Source organism: Homo sapiens, chromosome 20 (genome assembly GCF_000001405.40).
Source record: "Homo sapiens chromosome 20, GRCh38.p14 Primary Assembly".
Taxonomy (NCBI): domain Eukaryota; kingdom Metazoa; phylum Chordata; class Mammalia; order Primates; family Hominidae; genus Homo; species Homo sapiens.
This window is the reverse complement of record NC_000020.11, coordinates 37966774-37982501: the sequence shown is the minus strand read 5'-3', so window position 1 is coordinate 37982501 and position 15728 is coordinate 37966774. Positions and strand designations below refer to the sequence as shown.

The 15728-nt window shown below is 46.8% G+C and overlaps 1 pseudogene; it reads left to right on the top strand.

Annotated features, from left to right (window-relative positions):
• RN7SKP185 (RN7SK pseudogene 185) lies at nt 7021-7346 on the top strand (annotated as a pseudogene).

The following is a 15728-nucleotide window of genomic DNA, read 5'->3' as shown; positions in this document are numbered from 1 at the left end:
AGGATCCAAATAAGTGATATACATTGCTGGTATCAGTATATTCCCTAATAAATCTCTTTTAGGCCGGGTGCAGTGGCTCATGCCTGTAATCCCAGCACTTTGGGAGGCCGAGGTGGGCGGATTACCTGAGGTCAGGAGTTCGAGACCAGCCTGACCAACATGGAAAAACCCCGTCTCTACTAAAAATACAAAATTAGCTGGGCGTGGTGGTGTATGCCTGTAATCCCAGCTACTCAGGAGGCTGAGGCAGGAGAATCACTTGAACCCAGGAGATGGAGGTTGTGGTGAGCCAGGATTGCGCCATTGCACTCCAACCTGGACAACAAGAGCGAAACTCCATCTCTAAAATAAAAAATAAATCTCTTTTAATGTGTAGATTTCCCCCTCCACCTCTCTCTCATTTTCCTTGTAAGTTTTTTGGTGGAGAAACACGGTCATTTTTCCTACAGCATTTCCCACCGTCTGGATTTATTGATTGCATCCCTATGGAGGTCATTTCTTGGGCCCCTCCTCTCACCTGTGTTTCCTGGCCATTGGGAGGCAGAGTAAGAGTCGTGATCAGGATTGAGTCTCTTAGCTTTGTTTTTGGCACTTCTCCTCCATAGGTGGTGTTACGTACTTCCATCAGGAGGTATGTAAGTCTGATCTTACTGTGTTATTAGCAACCATGGTGATCTCACTGGAATCCACACACTCATTAGGGATTGCAGAGTAATGCTGTTCTAATTCTGCCATGCTGGCTTGCTGTTAACCAGAGTCCTTGTGTAAGGGGAACCTTCCCTTCATCAACCATCTGGTAACCTACCGGTACAGTTTGTATGGAAAAGGCAAGATGGCACCTGCCTGTAATCCCGGCTACTCGGGAGGCTGAGGAGGAGAATGGCATGAACCAGGGAAGGCGGAGGTTGCAGTGAGCAGAGATCGCGCCATTGCACTCCAGCCTGGACGACAGAGCAATACTTCGTCTCAAAAAGAAAAAAAAAAAGAAAAGAAAAGGCAAGATAAATACTCGATTTTTTTCTAGCTGAGAAATTTAAAACACACAGATTATGTAAATTGAGGTGCACATCCCACCCCAGGGCTCCCATGTATGCTGAAGGATCCCAGGGATGATGAATGCTTCCTCACAGGTGCATGGTGAGGCACCGGCTAGATCACAATTCCGGTGACATAGATAATCCCCAAACTCTTAAAAAGCCCAGAGGGTGCCTGGCATGGGGACATATTGGTGTGAGGGTCCCCAGCCAGCTCTGGAGAGGCCCCACTCAATTCCTTCTCCACTCCGCCCTGCAAGGGCCGAGTTATGTCCAGCTCCAGTCTCGGTGGCGGCAGCCTGGCTCTGTCTGGCTCCTGAGCCCTCAGGGAATCCTTCTCTTGGGGCTTTTTTCAGTTCTGCAGCCTGTAAAGTGGAGGGATTGGACCAGAGGGGGAGCTCTTCATCTGTTGGGATTGTGGGGACCCACTCCCCAGAAACTTGCTCCCGCTCCTCCCTTGTTACCCCCAGGAGGGCACTGCATCCTCCAAGACTGCAGTGGGCACTATCTCATCTGCTGAGGATGCTTCACTGACCTCACAAGATTCCATGTACAATTCCAGAGGCTTCACCTGTGACCCCGCAAGGACCCCAAGTTAAGAACCCCCTCAAAGAGCAAGATAATCACTTAACTCTCTTTGAGCTTTAAAATTCTGGGATGATTTCCTTTGGAAAAAGGGAGGGAAATGCCTCTAATTACGGAGATGGTAAAAGCATTCACAGCATTGTTCCTAATTCCACTGGGGACCCAAAGTGATAGGCTAATTCAGTCTCCAGATTCTGACAAATGAGAAAACAGGTCAGGGAGGTGGCATGACTTGCTGAGCATTACTTAGCTCTCCCGGTGAGATTAAAGTAGCCTGCCTTCGCAGAGCATCTGGGTGTGGCAAGCCGCGATGCTGTCCTGAGAGGCCAGGAAGATGTGCACACGCATCCTGATAAAAACTTGGACTCTGCGAAAGCTCTCCAGGAGATAATCAGCATAAGAGGATACACCATGGCTCTCCGAAAACCCACTTCTTCCTCAAAGAGTTAAGCTATCTTGAGTTGCTTTCAGATTCTTGCAGGCAGATTGTTGCACTTGATTTAAAAAAAAAAAAAATCTCATTAGAGTGCATCTCCAGTTATGATTATATTCAGGCAACTTTAATTTTGAACCTGTCCAGCTGACTCAGTCTAGTCCTTGTTAACATAAGCTTTGCAAAATACTCCATTCCCCCTGTTAAAACTTGTGGAGTAATAGGGGTTTCTTATTTCACTCAGGGCGCACCAGCACTTCAAGTATTGTTTGGGCTGGGGTTAGGGGTTGGTATAGAATGAATAAGTAGATACTGCAAGGCCTTGAATTTCAGCTTGAGATGTTTGAGCCGTGATCTGCAGGCTGTAGAAGGCTCCTGGAGGATGCAGGAAAGTATAGACCTGGACCCAGGGGATCCTTGGAGATGGCTGGAGGGGGGTGGCTGTGGTCTTCAGAAGGCACTGTGTTGTGGAAGGAGCATGGATGATTTGGAGTTCCTCAGCGCTGGGCTTCATTTCTGACTCCGCCTCTCTGTAACCGTGTGACCTTGGGCAAGTCATTTTACTTCCGAGCTGCATTTTCCCATCTCTGAATTAGAGCTGTTGCCACTGCCTCTTCAGGCAGCTGCATCAGAGGGGATGGATGCGGTAGTGTTTCTAAAGCATCTGACACTGTGCCTGGGGCTCCAGCAACATCTTTCCCCCGCTGCCCATGGCTTTGTTATGGCTGCAATACACACTCCTCTTGACGGTTACAGCCGAGGAAGTAGATGGTTAGGTCTCAGCATGTACCACCCAGAAACTAAAATAGAACCACGGTAGGGTGAGAGAATCAAAGAAGGCTTCTAGGAGGAGGTGACGTCCTAGTGGACAAGTAGATTTCAGCAGACAGAATAATGGGCATTCCAGACAGGAAAAATCACATGCCCAAAGAGCTGTGGGCATACCTGCCAGTATCTGTACACATCATAACTCGGTTGGGAGTGACAGGAGACCCAATTCAAAATTGGCTTGAGCAAAAAAAAAAATACCTTGGCACACAGAACGAAGAGGCCCCGCAGGCACAGCTCCCCCAGCCTGTCTGTCTTCTGATGCTGCTTTCCCCAGTGGTGGCTTCACTCTGACTCCAGGCTCCTGTTCCTTCAGCATCACACACCCAAGTGAATGTGCACCTCCTAACAGCTCTAGCCAAAGGCCTAGGATTGGGTTGGATTTTTAGAGATGGGGTCTTGCACTGTTGCCCAAGCTGACCTGGAACTCCCGAGCTCAAGAGATCCTCCCACCTCAGCCTAAATCCTAGGATTTGCTCTCATTGGCTCAGCCGGTGCTTTGCCCAGCCCCAAACCAAACTTGGTCCATCTACAACGGGTGTCAGCAACTTTCTCTGTAAAGGGCCAGAGTGAATCTATTAGGGTTTACAGGCCATACATAAAGGTCTCTGTGGCATCTTCTTTGACTTTTTTTTTCTTACAATCTTGTTGTTGTTGTTGTTGTTGTTGTTGTTGTTGCTGTTGTTGTTGAAACAGGGTCTTACTCTGGTAGCACAGGCTGGAGTACAGTGGTATGATCTCAGCTCCCTGCAGCCTCAATCTCTCTGGCTCAGATGATTCTCCCACCTCAGCCTCCCAAGTAATCTGGGTTTACAGGCGCACACCCCCATGCCTGGCTAATTTTTTGTATTTTTAGTAAAGATAGGATTTTGCTGTATTGCGAACCAGGCTGGTTTCAAACTCCTGGACTCAAGCAATCAGCCCACTTCAGCCTCCCAGAGTGCTGAGATTACAGGTGTGAACCACCGTGCTGGGCCGCAATCTTTTAAAAAACGGAAAAATTCTTTTTTTTTTTGAGACGGGAGTCTCGCTGTGTCGCCCAGGCTGGAGTGCAGTAGTGCAGTCTCGGCTCACTGCAAGCTCCACCTCCCGGGTTCATACCACTCTCCTGCCTCAGCCTCCCGAGTAGCAGGGACAACAGGCACCCGCCACCATGCCCGGCTAATTTTTTTGTATTTCTAATAGAGATGGGGTTTCACCGTGTTAGCCAGGATGGTCTCGATCTCCTGACCTCGTGATCCGCCTGCCTCGGCCTCCCAAAGTGCTGGGATTACAGGCTTGAGCCACTGCGCCTGGCCAAAAAAAAAAAAAAACGGAAAAGTTATTAGCTCAAGGGCCTCACAAAAAATAAGCCAGGGGCCTTTGTTTTTTTGTTCATTGGTGGTTTGTTGTTTTTGCTTTGCCCTCGGACCTTAGTTTGCCAACCCCTGAACTGCAGCAATCTCGGGGACAAGTCTGGAGACACCCACACCATATGGAGAAAGAGTTGAGGTGGAGTGGTTTCCCTAAAAGAAAGCACTGTGTTTGGTTACCAGGAAGAGAGATGCTGGGATCGGGGAGGGCATATATGACAGGCACTCACCACCCTGTATTTGTGGCCTGTGACACGTGTGGTGTGGCAGTCTGGGAGAGTGAATGTGAGGAGGTTGTGGGCGCTGAGGCCACATTTATGGAAGGCCTTGAATGCCAATCTGAGTATCCCAGCCTTAAGGGATCAAGAAGTGGCCTTGGAAGGTCCTTGAACAGGTGAATAATGTATTGAAAGCAGGATGTTAGGAATATTCATCTCGTGGCAGCATACGGGAGAAATTGGAAGGGAGAGAGACTGGCAATGAAATTGTATTTCTGAAAGTCCCAGGACGAGAAAATGTACCTCTTCCATCAACCCCGAACTGTTTGACATGCTGTGGTTCATGGGCAACTTGAGGCACATAAATATGTGATTTAAAGTTTAAAAGTAAGAAGTCAGATGAATGGAACCTCTGATGAGGCTTCCTCTGGCTTGTTCCGGAGAGTTGAGGAGCCCTAGAAATGATTTTCCGCAGCTCCAGCTGTGATGAGCAATGCAGGGTCCCTCTCCTTTTGTGTGGCTTACCCAGTCCTGTGCGTCGGGCTTGATTGGAAGCCAGGTGCCCGTACTGCCTTTCCTCCAGAGTAAGGAATAGAGGCCAAATTTCAGAAAATAATTCTGAGTGATGGTGGACTCTGTGGAAGCGTTGATTGCTTTATAAATGGCATGCTCCTCTCTGCGCCGCCCCCCCCCGCCCCCCCGCCCCCGTCTCCCCCCCCCCCCGCCCCCGTCTCCCCCACTCCACAACTGAAGTTTGGAGGCAGCGGCTTTTCAAATTACGCTTGAAAAGCAGCCTGATTTCCCACAGGAATCATCTCCTAGATTAGGAGCTGTTCTACCTTTTCTGACAGTTTTACCCAGAGTACAAAGCCAGTCTGCAAAGGACAAGGAGGGAGCAGTGCCCTCCTCGCTTCAAAGCTTTCAGCACCAACCGTTTATGAAAATGTCTCTCTCACTGCGGCCGTATCCCGGCATCTGGGGCTGCCTGTTTTTGCAGCAGGAAAGGGTTAAAAAACACTGATGAATGGCTGCCTCCACCACCCGCTTCCGTTTCCCCTCCTTATATAATTTGCCATTCTTTTTGCACAGCAGCTCCTGGGTCTCAACCTGCTCTCTCAATCAGTACCCTCACGTCCTCAGCTTCCTCCCACACAGGCGGACTCAGAAGTAAGGAAAGCACCTTTCAGAATCTCTGAGGCTGTTTCCAAGGAAAAAGATGGGTGGGGGGAGGCGGGGAGAAGAAGTAGTGGAGAAGAGTCAGAAGTTCCTTCATGAAATAAAACATGTTGCGTTACCTGGGCGTAGGTGTGGGGGAGGGATAGGCCTCAGCGCACCCCACCTCTTGTTAGCCTTCCTTCTCATTGTCTCATGGACCCCACCGGGTGCACTCAAGTGTTTCACCCCAAACCCTGCCCCAGTTCCCTGGAGGGAATCGAACTGTGCCACAGCTCACAGGTGACCTTGGGCGCTCTCTTCCCCTGCCTGTGCCTCAGCCTCCCCATCTACTAGGTAAAGGGTTTGAACCAATCAATCCCCAAGCATCGTTCCACCTCCTCAACATCTATAATTTGATAATATAATGTTGGAAAGTATATGGGGAGACAGGCATGTACATTGGCACAAGGTCTTTGGAGGTCAGTTGGGCAGTTATCGACCAAATTTGAATGCACACACTTTTGATCAGTAATTCTGCCTCTTAAGTATTTCATACTCACACATGGGCACAAAGATGTACACGCCTAGGCAGTTCACTGCAACATTGTTCCGAATTTTTAAAAATATTTTCACAAATATTGAATGCCTAGTATGTGCCAGGCTTTATGCTTGATACTCTTCCTTAATATCCAACGAATGGAAGCAAAAGATAGGAAATAACCTAATCATGGTGCTGAGCTCTTCATCCAGAAGAGACTGAAATGCCCCCCACAACACAGAAATTCTACTGAGCTATACTGAAGAGTGATACCTCAAATGTCATGAGGCCAGGCATGGTGGCTCATGCCTGTAATCTCGACATGTTGGGAGGCTGAGGCAGGAGGATTACTGGAGCACAGCAGATTGAGGCTGCGGTGAGCTATGATTGTGCCACTGCACTCCAAAGTCATGAAATATTACTGTTAACTATTCCTTAAAGTAAGTAGAAAATTAGAGGCCAGGTGCAGTGGCTCACATCTGTAATCCCAGCACTTTGGGAGGCCGAGGCAGGCGGTTCACCTGAGGTCGGGAGTTCTAGACTAGCCTGACTAGCATGGAGAAACCCTGTCTCTACTAAAAATACAAAATTAGCTGGGCGTGGTGGCACATGTCTGTAATCCCAGCTACTTGGGAGCCTGAGGCAGGAGAATCACTTGAACCCAGGAGGTGGAGGTTGTGGTGAGCCAAGATCACGCCATTGCACTCCCGCCTGGGAAACAAGAGTGAAACTCAGTCTCAAAAAAAAAAAAAAAAAAAAGAAAGGAAGAAAAGAAAATTACAAAGAACAGGGGAGGGAGGGAGGGATGGACTAGTTAAATGATCTCCAGTACATTTATATAACAAAATACTGTGCAACATTTTAAAAGAATAAAACAGGATGTAAGGGCGATCTGGCTGCAATATCCATCACCCCATTGATTGCCAGGGTTCATTCGGCTGATCTGGCTGGCTGGGCAGTTGTCCCCTTCCTCCCTCTCCACTCCATGTGTGTCCCTCCTGAAGCTGCACACTCTGTCGAAGAGGACGACCATCCCCAATAGAGGAAGACTGGTCTTCAGTCAAGGGTATATAAGTAGCTGAGCCCCCCTGCTAGAACCTCCAAACAAGCTCTCAAGGTCCATTTGTAGGAGAACGTAGGGCTCCAAGCTTCCAAGGCTCCAGACACATTCAAATGAGGCACTACCTGTGGTAGTCTGCCTTTGAAAGAATAAAAAATAAAATAGCAATAGCTATCAGAATTTTAAATGCACATACCCTTTGACTCAGCAATCCTGCTTTTAGGAATTTACTTGCCATGATCAAAGATGATGAATAAAGTGTTTGTTGATGCATTGTTTGCATTAATGAAAGAATGGAAACAACCTAAAAGTCCATCAAGAGAGTACTGGCTAAATAAGTGCCTCATAAACATGGGTAGTGTACCACATAGCCTTTCAAAATAATGAGGTAGTTCTTTGTATAGCTCCAAGATACATTATTAAAGAAAAAGACAAGCAGCGGCCGGGCTCTGTGGCTCATACCTGTAATCCCAGCACTTTGGGAGGCCGAGGTGGGTGGATCACCCAAGGTCAGGAGTTTGAGACCAGCCTGACCAACATGGCAAAACCCCATCTCTACTAAAAATACAAAAATTATCTGAGCATGGTGGCAGGTGCCTGTAATCCCAGCTACTTGGGAGGCTGAGGCAGGAGAATTGCTAGAACCCAGGAGGCGGAGGTTGCAGTGAGCCAAGATAGCGCCATCGCACTCCAGCATAGGCAACAGAGCAACACTCCATCTCAAAAGAAAAAAAGAAAAAGACAACCAGAACAATGCTGCTGCGTATGGGGAAGGGGGACACTTGATGTGTGGATTCTCTCTTAAAGGACACCCAAGTGGCAGCCTTCAGCTTCTAGGAAGGGTGACAGGATCAGTGATGAGAAGTCTTCTCACAAGTACCCCATACACCCTTGACATTTTTTTAAACCCTATTCATGTGTAGCTTATCCACTCACACAAAAAAAGTCATCAAAATAGAAGGCGTTTATGTGTCTATAATCCTATGGCAAACTCACATTTGGTATTAGGGGCCTAACATCATCTTGGGTCCCTCGCTTGTGCTTTGTGTTTCTCGAGGGGAACCAGGGCTGGGAGAAGGGGAAGCAATGCTTAATCCAAATAAGTAGCTGGGCACAGTGGCTCACGCCTGTAATCCCAGCACTTTGGGAGGCCGAGGTGGGTGGATCACAAGGTCAGGAGTTCAAGACCAGCCTGGCCAAGATGGTGAAACCCCGTCTCTACTAAACATACAAAAAAAAAAAATCAGCTGGGCGTGGTGGTGGGCGCCTGTAATCCCAGCTATTCAGGAGGCTAAGGCAGAGAATTGCTTCAGATCATACCACTGCACTCCAGCCTGGGCGACAGAGTGAGACTCCGTCTAAAAAATAATAATAATAATAATAATAATAAGCAAAAAATAAGCAAAGGAATCTTGGAGAGGATGCCTCTCAGGGAATGGGTTGTATCCCCGTGGGCATGTAGGAAGATGATCTCCCGCCCATGCCCTAGCTCATCTGAGCCCCCTCAGAACCCCAAGAGAGGCAGGTCAGGCCTCGGAGCTTTTCCTGACTACCCATGTTGAAATCAGGGCACTGCAATGCCGCCCTCCTCGCCACAGCTCTGCGTGGGGCTTGCAGCCTTTTTCTCATGTAGGAGTCATATTCCTTTCTGCATCTTCAGCACCTGACAGAGACACACGACAGGGTCATGACTTGCCGCTTCATCTCATGGTCATGATGACTGACATATCCAGTAACTCCTCCAGAGACATTAAGAGCAAAGACAGGATTCTAACAGGAGGCTACTGATCAGTTGCATGATCAGTTACAACAGGGTTTATGGAACAGGATCTGAAATCTGCTGGTTGGAAATTTCAACAAGTATTTTTCAAGGCTTTCTATGTGCCAGCCCCAGAGACAAAAAGACATGTATACTGCCTCTTAGGAGCTAGGCTTACAGGAGAGCTAAACAGGGCAAGTTCGTGTGAGAAGACAGCAATAAGTCTGCATTGGGAGGAGGTAGGGAGCGGCAGTTAAGCTCATGGGCTCTGGAGATAAGAAGGCCTGCCATGTGGCCTTGGGAAAGTCTCTTCAGGACTCTTAGCCTTGACGAAATGAAAATAAGAACAGTACCTCCCTGGGAGCATGGGACACCAGAGTGGTAGAGTGATAGACTCAGGGACCGGCTGGCCCCTGGGAGGTGCTCTATCAGAGTTGGTCACCACCATGAAGATGATGATATTCAAAAATATAAATGGCAGCCCAGAGGTTGAACCAAAAGGCAATTGGGAGGCTTCATGGAGGAGACACCACCAAGCTGGCATTGCAGTATTTGCCCATGAAGTACACACAGGGAAGGCCCGCTCTGGACAGAGGGAACAGCAGGTACAAAGGCTCAAACAACACATTTAAGGTGTTGCTCGTGTTGATGTAAGGTGGGGGCAGTGGGCAATGAAGATAAAGAAAAAGGTGAAACTTCAGGAAAGCAGGCCAGTCTGTTCAATACCCGAGAGGTGGGCCTGGGCTGTACATCTGGCGGGCACCCAATAGGTGCGTGAGTAATGGGTGGGTAGCATTGCCATAGGGAAGTTGTTCTCTGGGGCTTTTCTGCAGGGTGGAATAGGGTGGATGAGGAATGATGGGCAGAGCTCACCCTTGCCAGGCCACTCCCAGCCAGAGCTGAAGGGCCTGGTTCCTAAGGTCCCACTGGCAGCAAACACTAGGGTCCTAACCCAGGGTATTTCCAGCTTGTGAGCACCTGCTTTGCTGATTTCTGGAAAGTCTACACAAAAGAGGGGGTGCAGTCCTTGAGTTTACACTCCAGTGTGGGAGGCCAGACTTCCATGAGAAACATTTTCATTTAGTAATGGCTTTAATGAGTGCAGAACTTCCTGTTTTAAACAAACAAGTGATTAGCATTGACTATAGATGTGAAAATGGATCCTAATGAATTGCTAATTAGCCGCCTTCTCTTCCTGGGATCTTTAGCTGGTAAATTCCCTCTCTAGCTATAGGGAGCCTTAGTCGATCAGACTGGCATTGATTCATTCATTCATTCAACATACATTTTTTGAGTCCCTACTGTGTGTCACTGTAAACAAGAAAGGGAGGATCCCTTCCTCACAGTCTGATGGAGGAGACAGCATTAATCACCTAAACTTAAAGACCTATAATGACACACTTACAGGCCAGGGAGCTGGGACAATGTGCAACAGGAGGACCTGATCTTGCCCTGGGGTGGGAGGGGGCAAGAGGAAGGGGCATTTGAGCCAAGATCTGAAGAATAAGTAGAACTTAACTCATGGAAGGGGGAACAGAAAGAGTAGAAGAGTGGCTCAGACATCCAGAATGGCATATGCAAAGGTGTTGTGTTGAGAGGGAGCAGTGTGAGTCAGGAAAAATGAAGCCAGTGTAAGAGGTGTGCAAGAGGCGTGTGTGTGTGTCACAGAACGAGAGCATGTGTAATTGATGTTGGCTTCATCCTTTGTAGCAGACAGTAAGTACCCAGTGCCCACTCCACATCCGTCAGGGCTTACCACCTCGGTGTGCTCCAGCCAACTTCCAGCTGCCCTGCATTTGATTTCTTTGACTAAGGATTTTCTGCAGGTAAGGAAGGCCTTCTGTCTCCACGCTTGGCAGGCCAGAAGTCCTGGTGAATTAAGCAGGTCTTGGGAGCAACCCTCAGCCAATAACTGATGTGTAAAAATCACAGCTCCCCAGTGTAAGAGTTAAAGAAAGAGGAAAGAAACAGGAAATGAGGCTCAACAGTCAAAGACAGGTTTATCTTAGAGAAATAAACCTGAGAGGGGCTTCTGGCCGATTTAATGTTGAGCTGCATTTCATCTTTCTTTCCTCTTTCTTAAACTCTTAAACCCAACCCCTTGGGCAGGGTAACTTCAAGGTGTGTATTCTACACTGGCTCCCACAGTTCCCTAGTAGGACTGAGCCCCACTTGGGCACAGTGGTATAACTTCCTTGACCCTGCACTCTTTCCCTGTCTCACTTCCCCATGTCCCTACTGGTGCTTCCTGGGATTAGGTCCAAATGAACTACCTGCCCTCAATTCTTTGTCTCAGTACCTGCTTCTGGAAGAACTCATGATAAGATATCCTGGAAACAAAACACAGATACATTTCAAGTCCCTTCCACATCCTAGTTACCCTTGCCTGGATCCCCTCCTCTCTCTCACTTGCTTCCCTTACTGAGTGTATCTGTAGACCATGGTGGCCCAGCTGGGGTCTGCTTAGCACACCAGAGCTTCTTAAGGTAGGTCACTCAGAGGGAGCCATTTGGTTCCCAGAGAGGCCAGTGGTATATGTCCATGTCCCCATCCCATCATTAGCTCCCCCTTCTTTGAATGCACCATCCTTCAAATGCTCCCTGCCCCTTGTAGCTGAAGCAGACCACCTTGAGGAGGAATCCAAGTGGCTGGCCTGTGTGGCCAGGGGCAGGGACAAGAAGTGCTGAGTGAGACACCTTCCGTACTCACCAGCCTTGCTTTCTTTTGTGTATGAATTGAAAGGATTCTCCCTGGAGTTGAAAAATAAACATGTTTTCTGAATAATATGGCATATTGACCTCGAAGTCCCTACAGCAGTTCTGGACAAAGCCAGGCTCAGGTTAGGGCCTGCCATTATTATCATTCATTCAATAGAAGTGATTCATTGTCTGTCCTCCCCTTCTTAGCAACAGGGTCCTGGTATTTAGGCATACAGCTGATCCAAATAAAGGCCATGGTTTCCAGTTCTCCCTGCAGCTGGATGTGGCCATATGACCAAGTTCTGGCCCATGACAGATAAGCAGAAATGATCTGCAACTACAGCCAAGTCTCCATAAATACAGGGTGTGTTCTCTTCCCATGTCCTCCTTTCTGCTGGCTGAAGTGCATACTCAGTGATGGGAGGCAGAGTGGCCGTCTCGGGCTGTGAAGGGAAGCCAGACTAGAGTCAGCAGATATTGTAGTAACCAGGTAGAAATGCCAACTAGTTGAAAATTAAGTGTCTAATGAAACTTGGGGAAGGAGAAACCAGGGCTCCTAAAACTTCTTTTGATTAAATAAGATGCAGTAGGTCCAAACTTTGACCCAACACTTATAAGCTGTTAATGTCTGTCAGAGGCAAATCTTTTATTCACTGATTCATTTATTGAGCGGGTGCCAGGAGCCAAGCCCTGTGCTAGTCATTGGGGATGCAGCAGGAAACAGGACACTTGGAGTCTGTGCCCTCCTGGAGCCTTCATTACCATTTCTAGCATTTTATTCTAAAGTGTTTCTGCCATCACCTCCAGTCAAGACGGCATTGGGTTCATGCTTTAAAAATAACCTCTGCTCCCCAGCTGGAACTCGTACATTGTGGATGGGAATGCAAAATGGTATAGCTGCTTAGGAAAACAGTTTGGGAGTTTCGTATAAAGTTAAAGCAACCCCACTCTTAGGTGTTTGCCCAGGACAAATGAAAACATGTCCACACAAAGACTTGTATATGAATGTTCATAGCAGATTTATACGTAACAGCCCAAACTGGAAACAATTCAAATGTCTATCAATAGAAGAATGGTTAAAAATGGTTAAAAAATTGTGACATAACCATACAACAGAATACTACCCAAAAAGGAATACACATATTAAAAGGAATATCCATATTACTGGATATACACAGTAATATGGATTAATCTAAAAATCACTACATGTGATGAGATTAAATGGCAGATAGGAGGCCAGACTAGCTTGCAGCTCCCGCTCGGATGGACAGAGCAGCCAGTGGAGACTCACATCGTGAACTTTTGCTCCAAGAACTACTACAGGTACATACTAGGAAAGCCGAGAGAATCCACAGACCCTTTAAAGGAACTGGATCACTGCTGCAGGCTCCCTGAGATGCCAAAAACCTGTGAGTCTGCTTGCTTTCTCAACAGGGAGGCTCGTGGTCTGGGGCAAGTTCTCGGCCCTGGTCACCGGCTGCCTGGAAATAGACTCAGTGCTGTTGGAGGGGCATGGTAGGAGTGAGACCAGCCTTTAGGACTGCAGGCTGCATAGGAGTGGGTGAGGCCCATGACTGCCAGCTTTCCCTCATTTCCCTGGTGACCTGTATGACTCAGCAGAGGCAGCCATAATCCCCCTGGGAATATAACTCCACTGGACTGGGAAACAGTCCCCTATTCCCCACAGCAGCTGCAGTAAGCCCTGCCCAAGGAGAAGCTAAACTCAGACATGCCTTTCCCTGCCCCCTCCTGGTGGTCTTTCTCTACCTGCCCTGGTAACTGAAGACAAAAGTCGTAATCTCTTGGGAGCTCTGCAGCCCTGCCCACTGCCTGAGAATCCTGAATACTTAACCAGTTGTCTCTAGGGCAAGTTTGCTTCCTCCGTGTGGGACCGCAGCTGATGCACTCTTGAAAGCACCACCTCCTGGCTGGAGGCCAACCAACTCAAAACCAGCACTCTAAACAAAAACACAACCAAAGACCCTCACAGAGCCCACTTCACTCCCCTGCTAGCTCCACAGGAGCAGGTGCTGGTATCCATGGCTGCAACACCTGAAGATGGATCACATTACAGATTACAGGACTCTGCAGATGCTTCCCAATACCAGCCTAGAGCCCAGTAGCTCCACTGGGTGGCTAGACCCAAAAAAGCAAAAGCAATCACTACAGTTTGGCTCTCAGGAAGCCCCATCCCTAGGGGAAGGGGAAGAGCACCACATCAAGGGAGCACCCCATGGGGCCAAAGAGTCTGAACAGCAGCCCCTGAATCCCTAATCGTCCCTCTGACATAGTCTACCCAAATGAGAAGGAACCAGAAAAACAATTCTGGTAATGTGACAAAACAAGGTTCTTTCACACCCCCAAAAGATTATACCAGCTCACCAGCAATGGATCCAAACCAAGATGAAATCTCTGAATTCCCCCCAAAAAATTCAGAAGGTCAATTATTGAGCTAATCAAGGAGACACCAGAGAAATGTGAAGTCCAACTTAAAGAAATCAAAAACATGATACAGGAAATGAAAGAAAAATTCTTCAGTGAAATAGCACAAATAAAAAACAATCACAACTTCTGGAAATCAAAGACACACCTAGAGAAATGCAAAATGCACTGGAAAGTCTTAGCAATAGGATTGAACAATCAGAAGAAAAAACTACAGAACTCAAAGACCAGGCTTTCAAATTAACCCAATCTGTCAAAAACAAAGAAAAGAATTTTAAAAAATAAAGCCTCCAAGAAGTTTGGGACTATGTTAAACATCCAAACCTAAGAATAATTAGTGTTCCCGAGGAAGAAGAGAAATCTAAAGGTTTGGAAAACATATTTTAGGGAATAATTGAGGAAAACTTCCCCAGCCTTGCTAGAGATCTAGACATCCAAATACAAGAAGCTCAAAGAACACCTGGGAAATTTATCGCAAAAAGATCATCATCTAGGTACATAGTCACTGGGTTATCTAAAGTCAAGATGAAGAAAAGGATCTTAAGAGCTGTGAGACAAAAGCATCAGGTAACCTATAAAGGAAAACCTGTCAGATTAAAAGCAGATTTCTCAGCAGAAACCCTACAAGCTAAAAGGGATTGGGGTCCTATTTTTAGCCAGCTTAAACAAAACAATTATCAGCCAAGAATTTTGTATCCAGCAAAACTAAACTTCATAAATGAAGGAAAGATACAGTCTTTTTCAGACAAACAAATGCTGACAGAATTCACCACTACCAACCCAGCACTACAAGAACTGTTAAAGGAGCTCTAAATCTTGAAACAAATCCTCAAAATACACTAAAATAGAACCTCCTTAAAGCATAAATCTCACAGGACCTATATTACAATAACACAATGAAGAAAAAGGTATTTAGGCAACAAATAACAGGATGAATAGAATAGTACCTCACATCTCAATACTAACATTGAATGTAAATGGCCTAAATGCTCCACTTCCAAGATACAGAATGGCATAATGGGTAAGAATTCACCAACCAAGTTTCTGCTGTCTTCAAGACACTCATCTGACACATAAGGTCTCACATAAACTTAAGGTAAAGGGATGGGAAAAGATATTCCATGCAAATGGACACGAAAAGCAAGCAGGAGTAGCTATTCTTATATCAGACAAAACAAACTCTAAAGCAACGGCAGTTTAAAAAGACAAAGAGAGACGTTACGTAGATAAAAGGACTAGTCCAACAGGAAAATATCACAGTTCTAAATACATATGTACCTAACACTGGAACTCCCAAATTTATAAAACAATTACTACTAGACCTAAGAAATGAGATAGATGGCAATACAATAATAGTGGGGGTCTTTAATATTCCACTGACAGCACTAGACAGGTCATCAAGACAGAAAGCCAACAAAGAAACAATGGACTTAAATTACACCCTACAATAAATGGACTTAACAGATATTGATATTTACAGAACATTCTACCCAACAACTACAGAATATACATTCTATTCTTCAGCATATGGAACATTCTCCAAGATAGATCATATGATAGACCACAAAACAAGTCTCAGTAAATTTAAGAAAATCGAAGTTACATCAAGTGCTCTCTCAGACCAC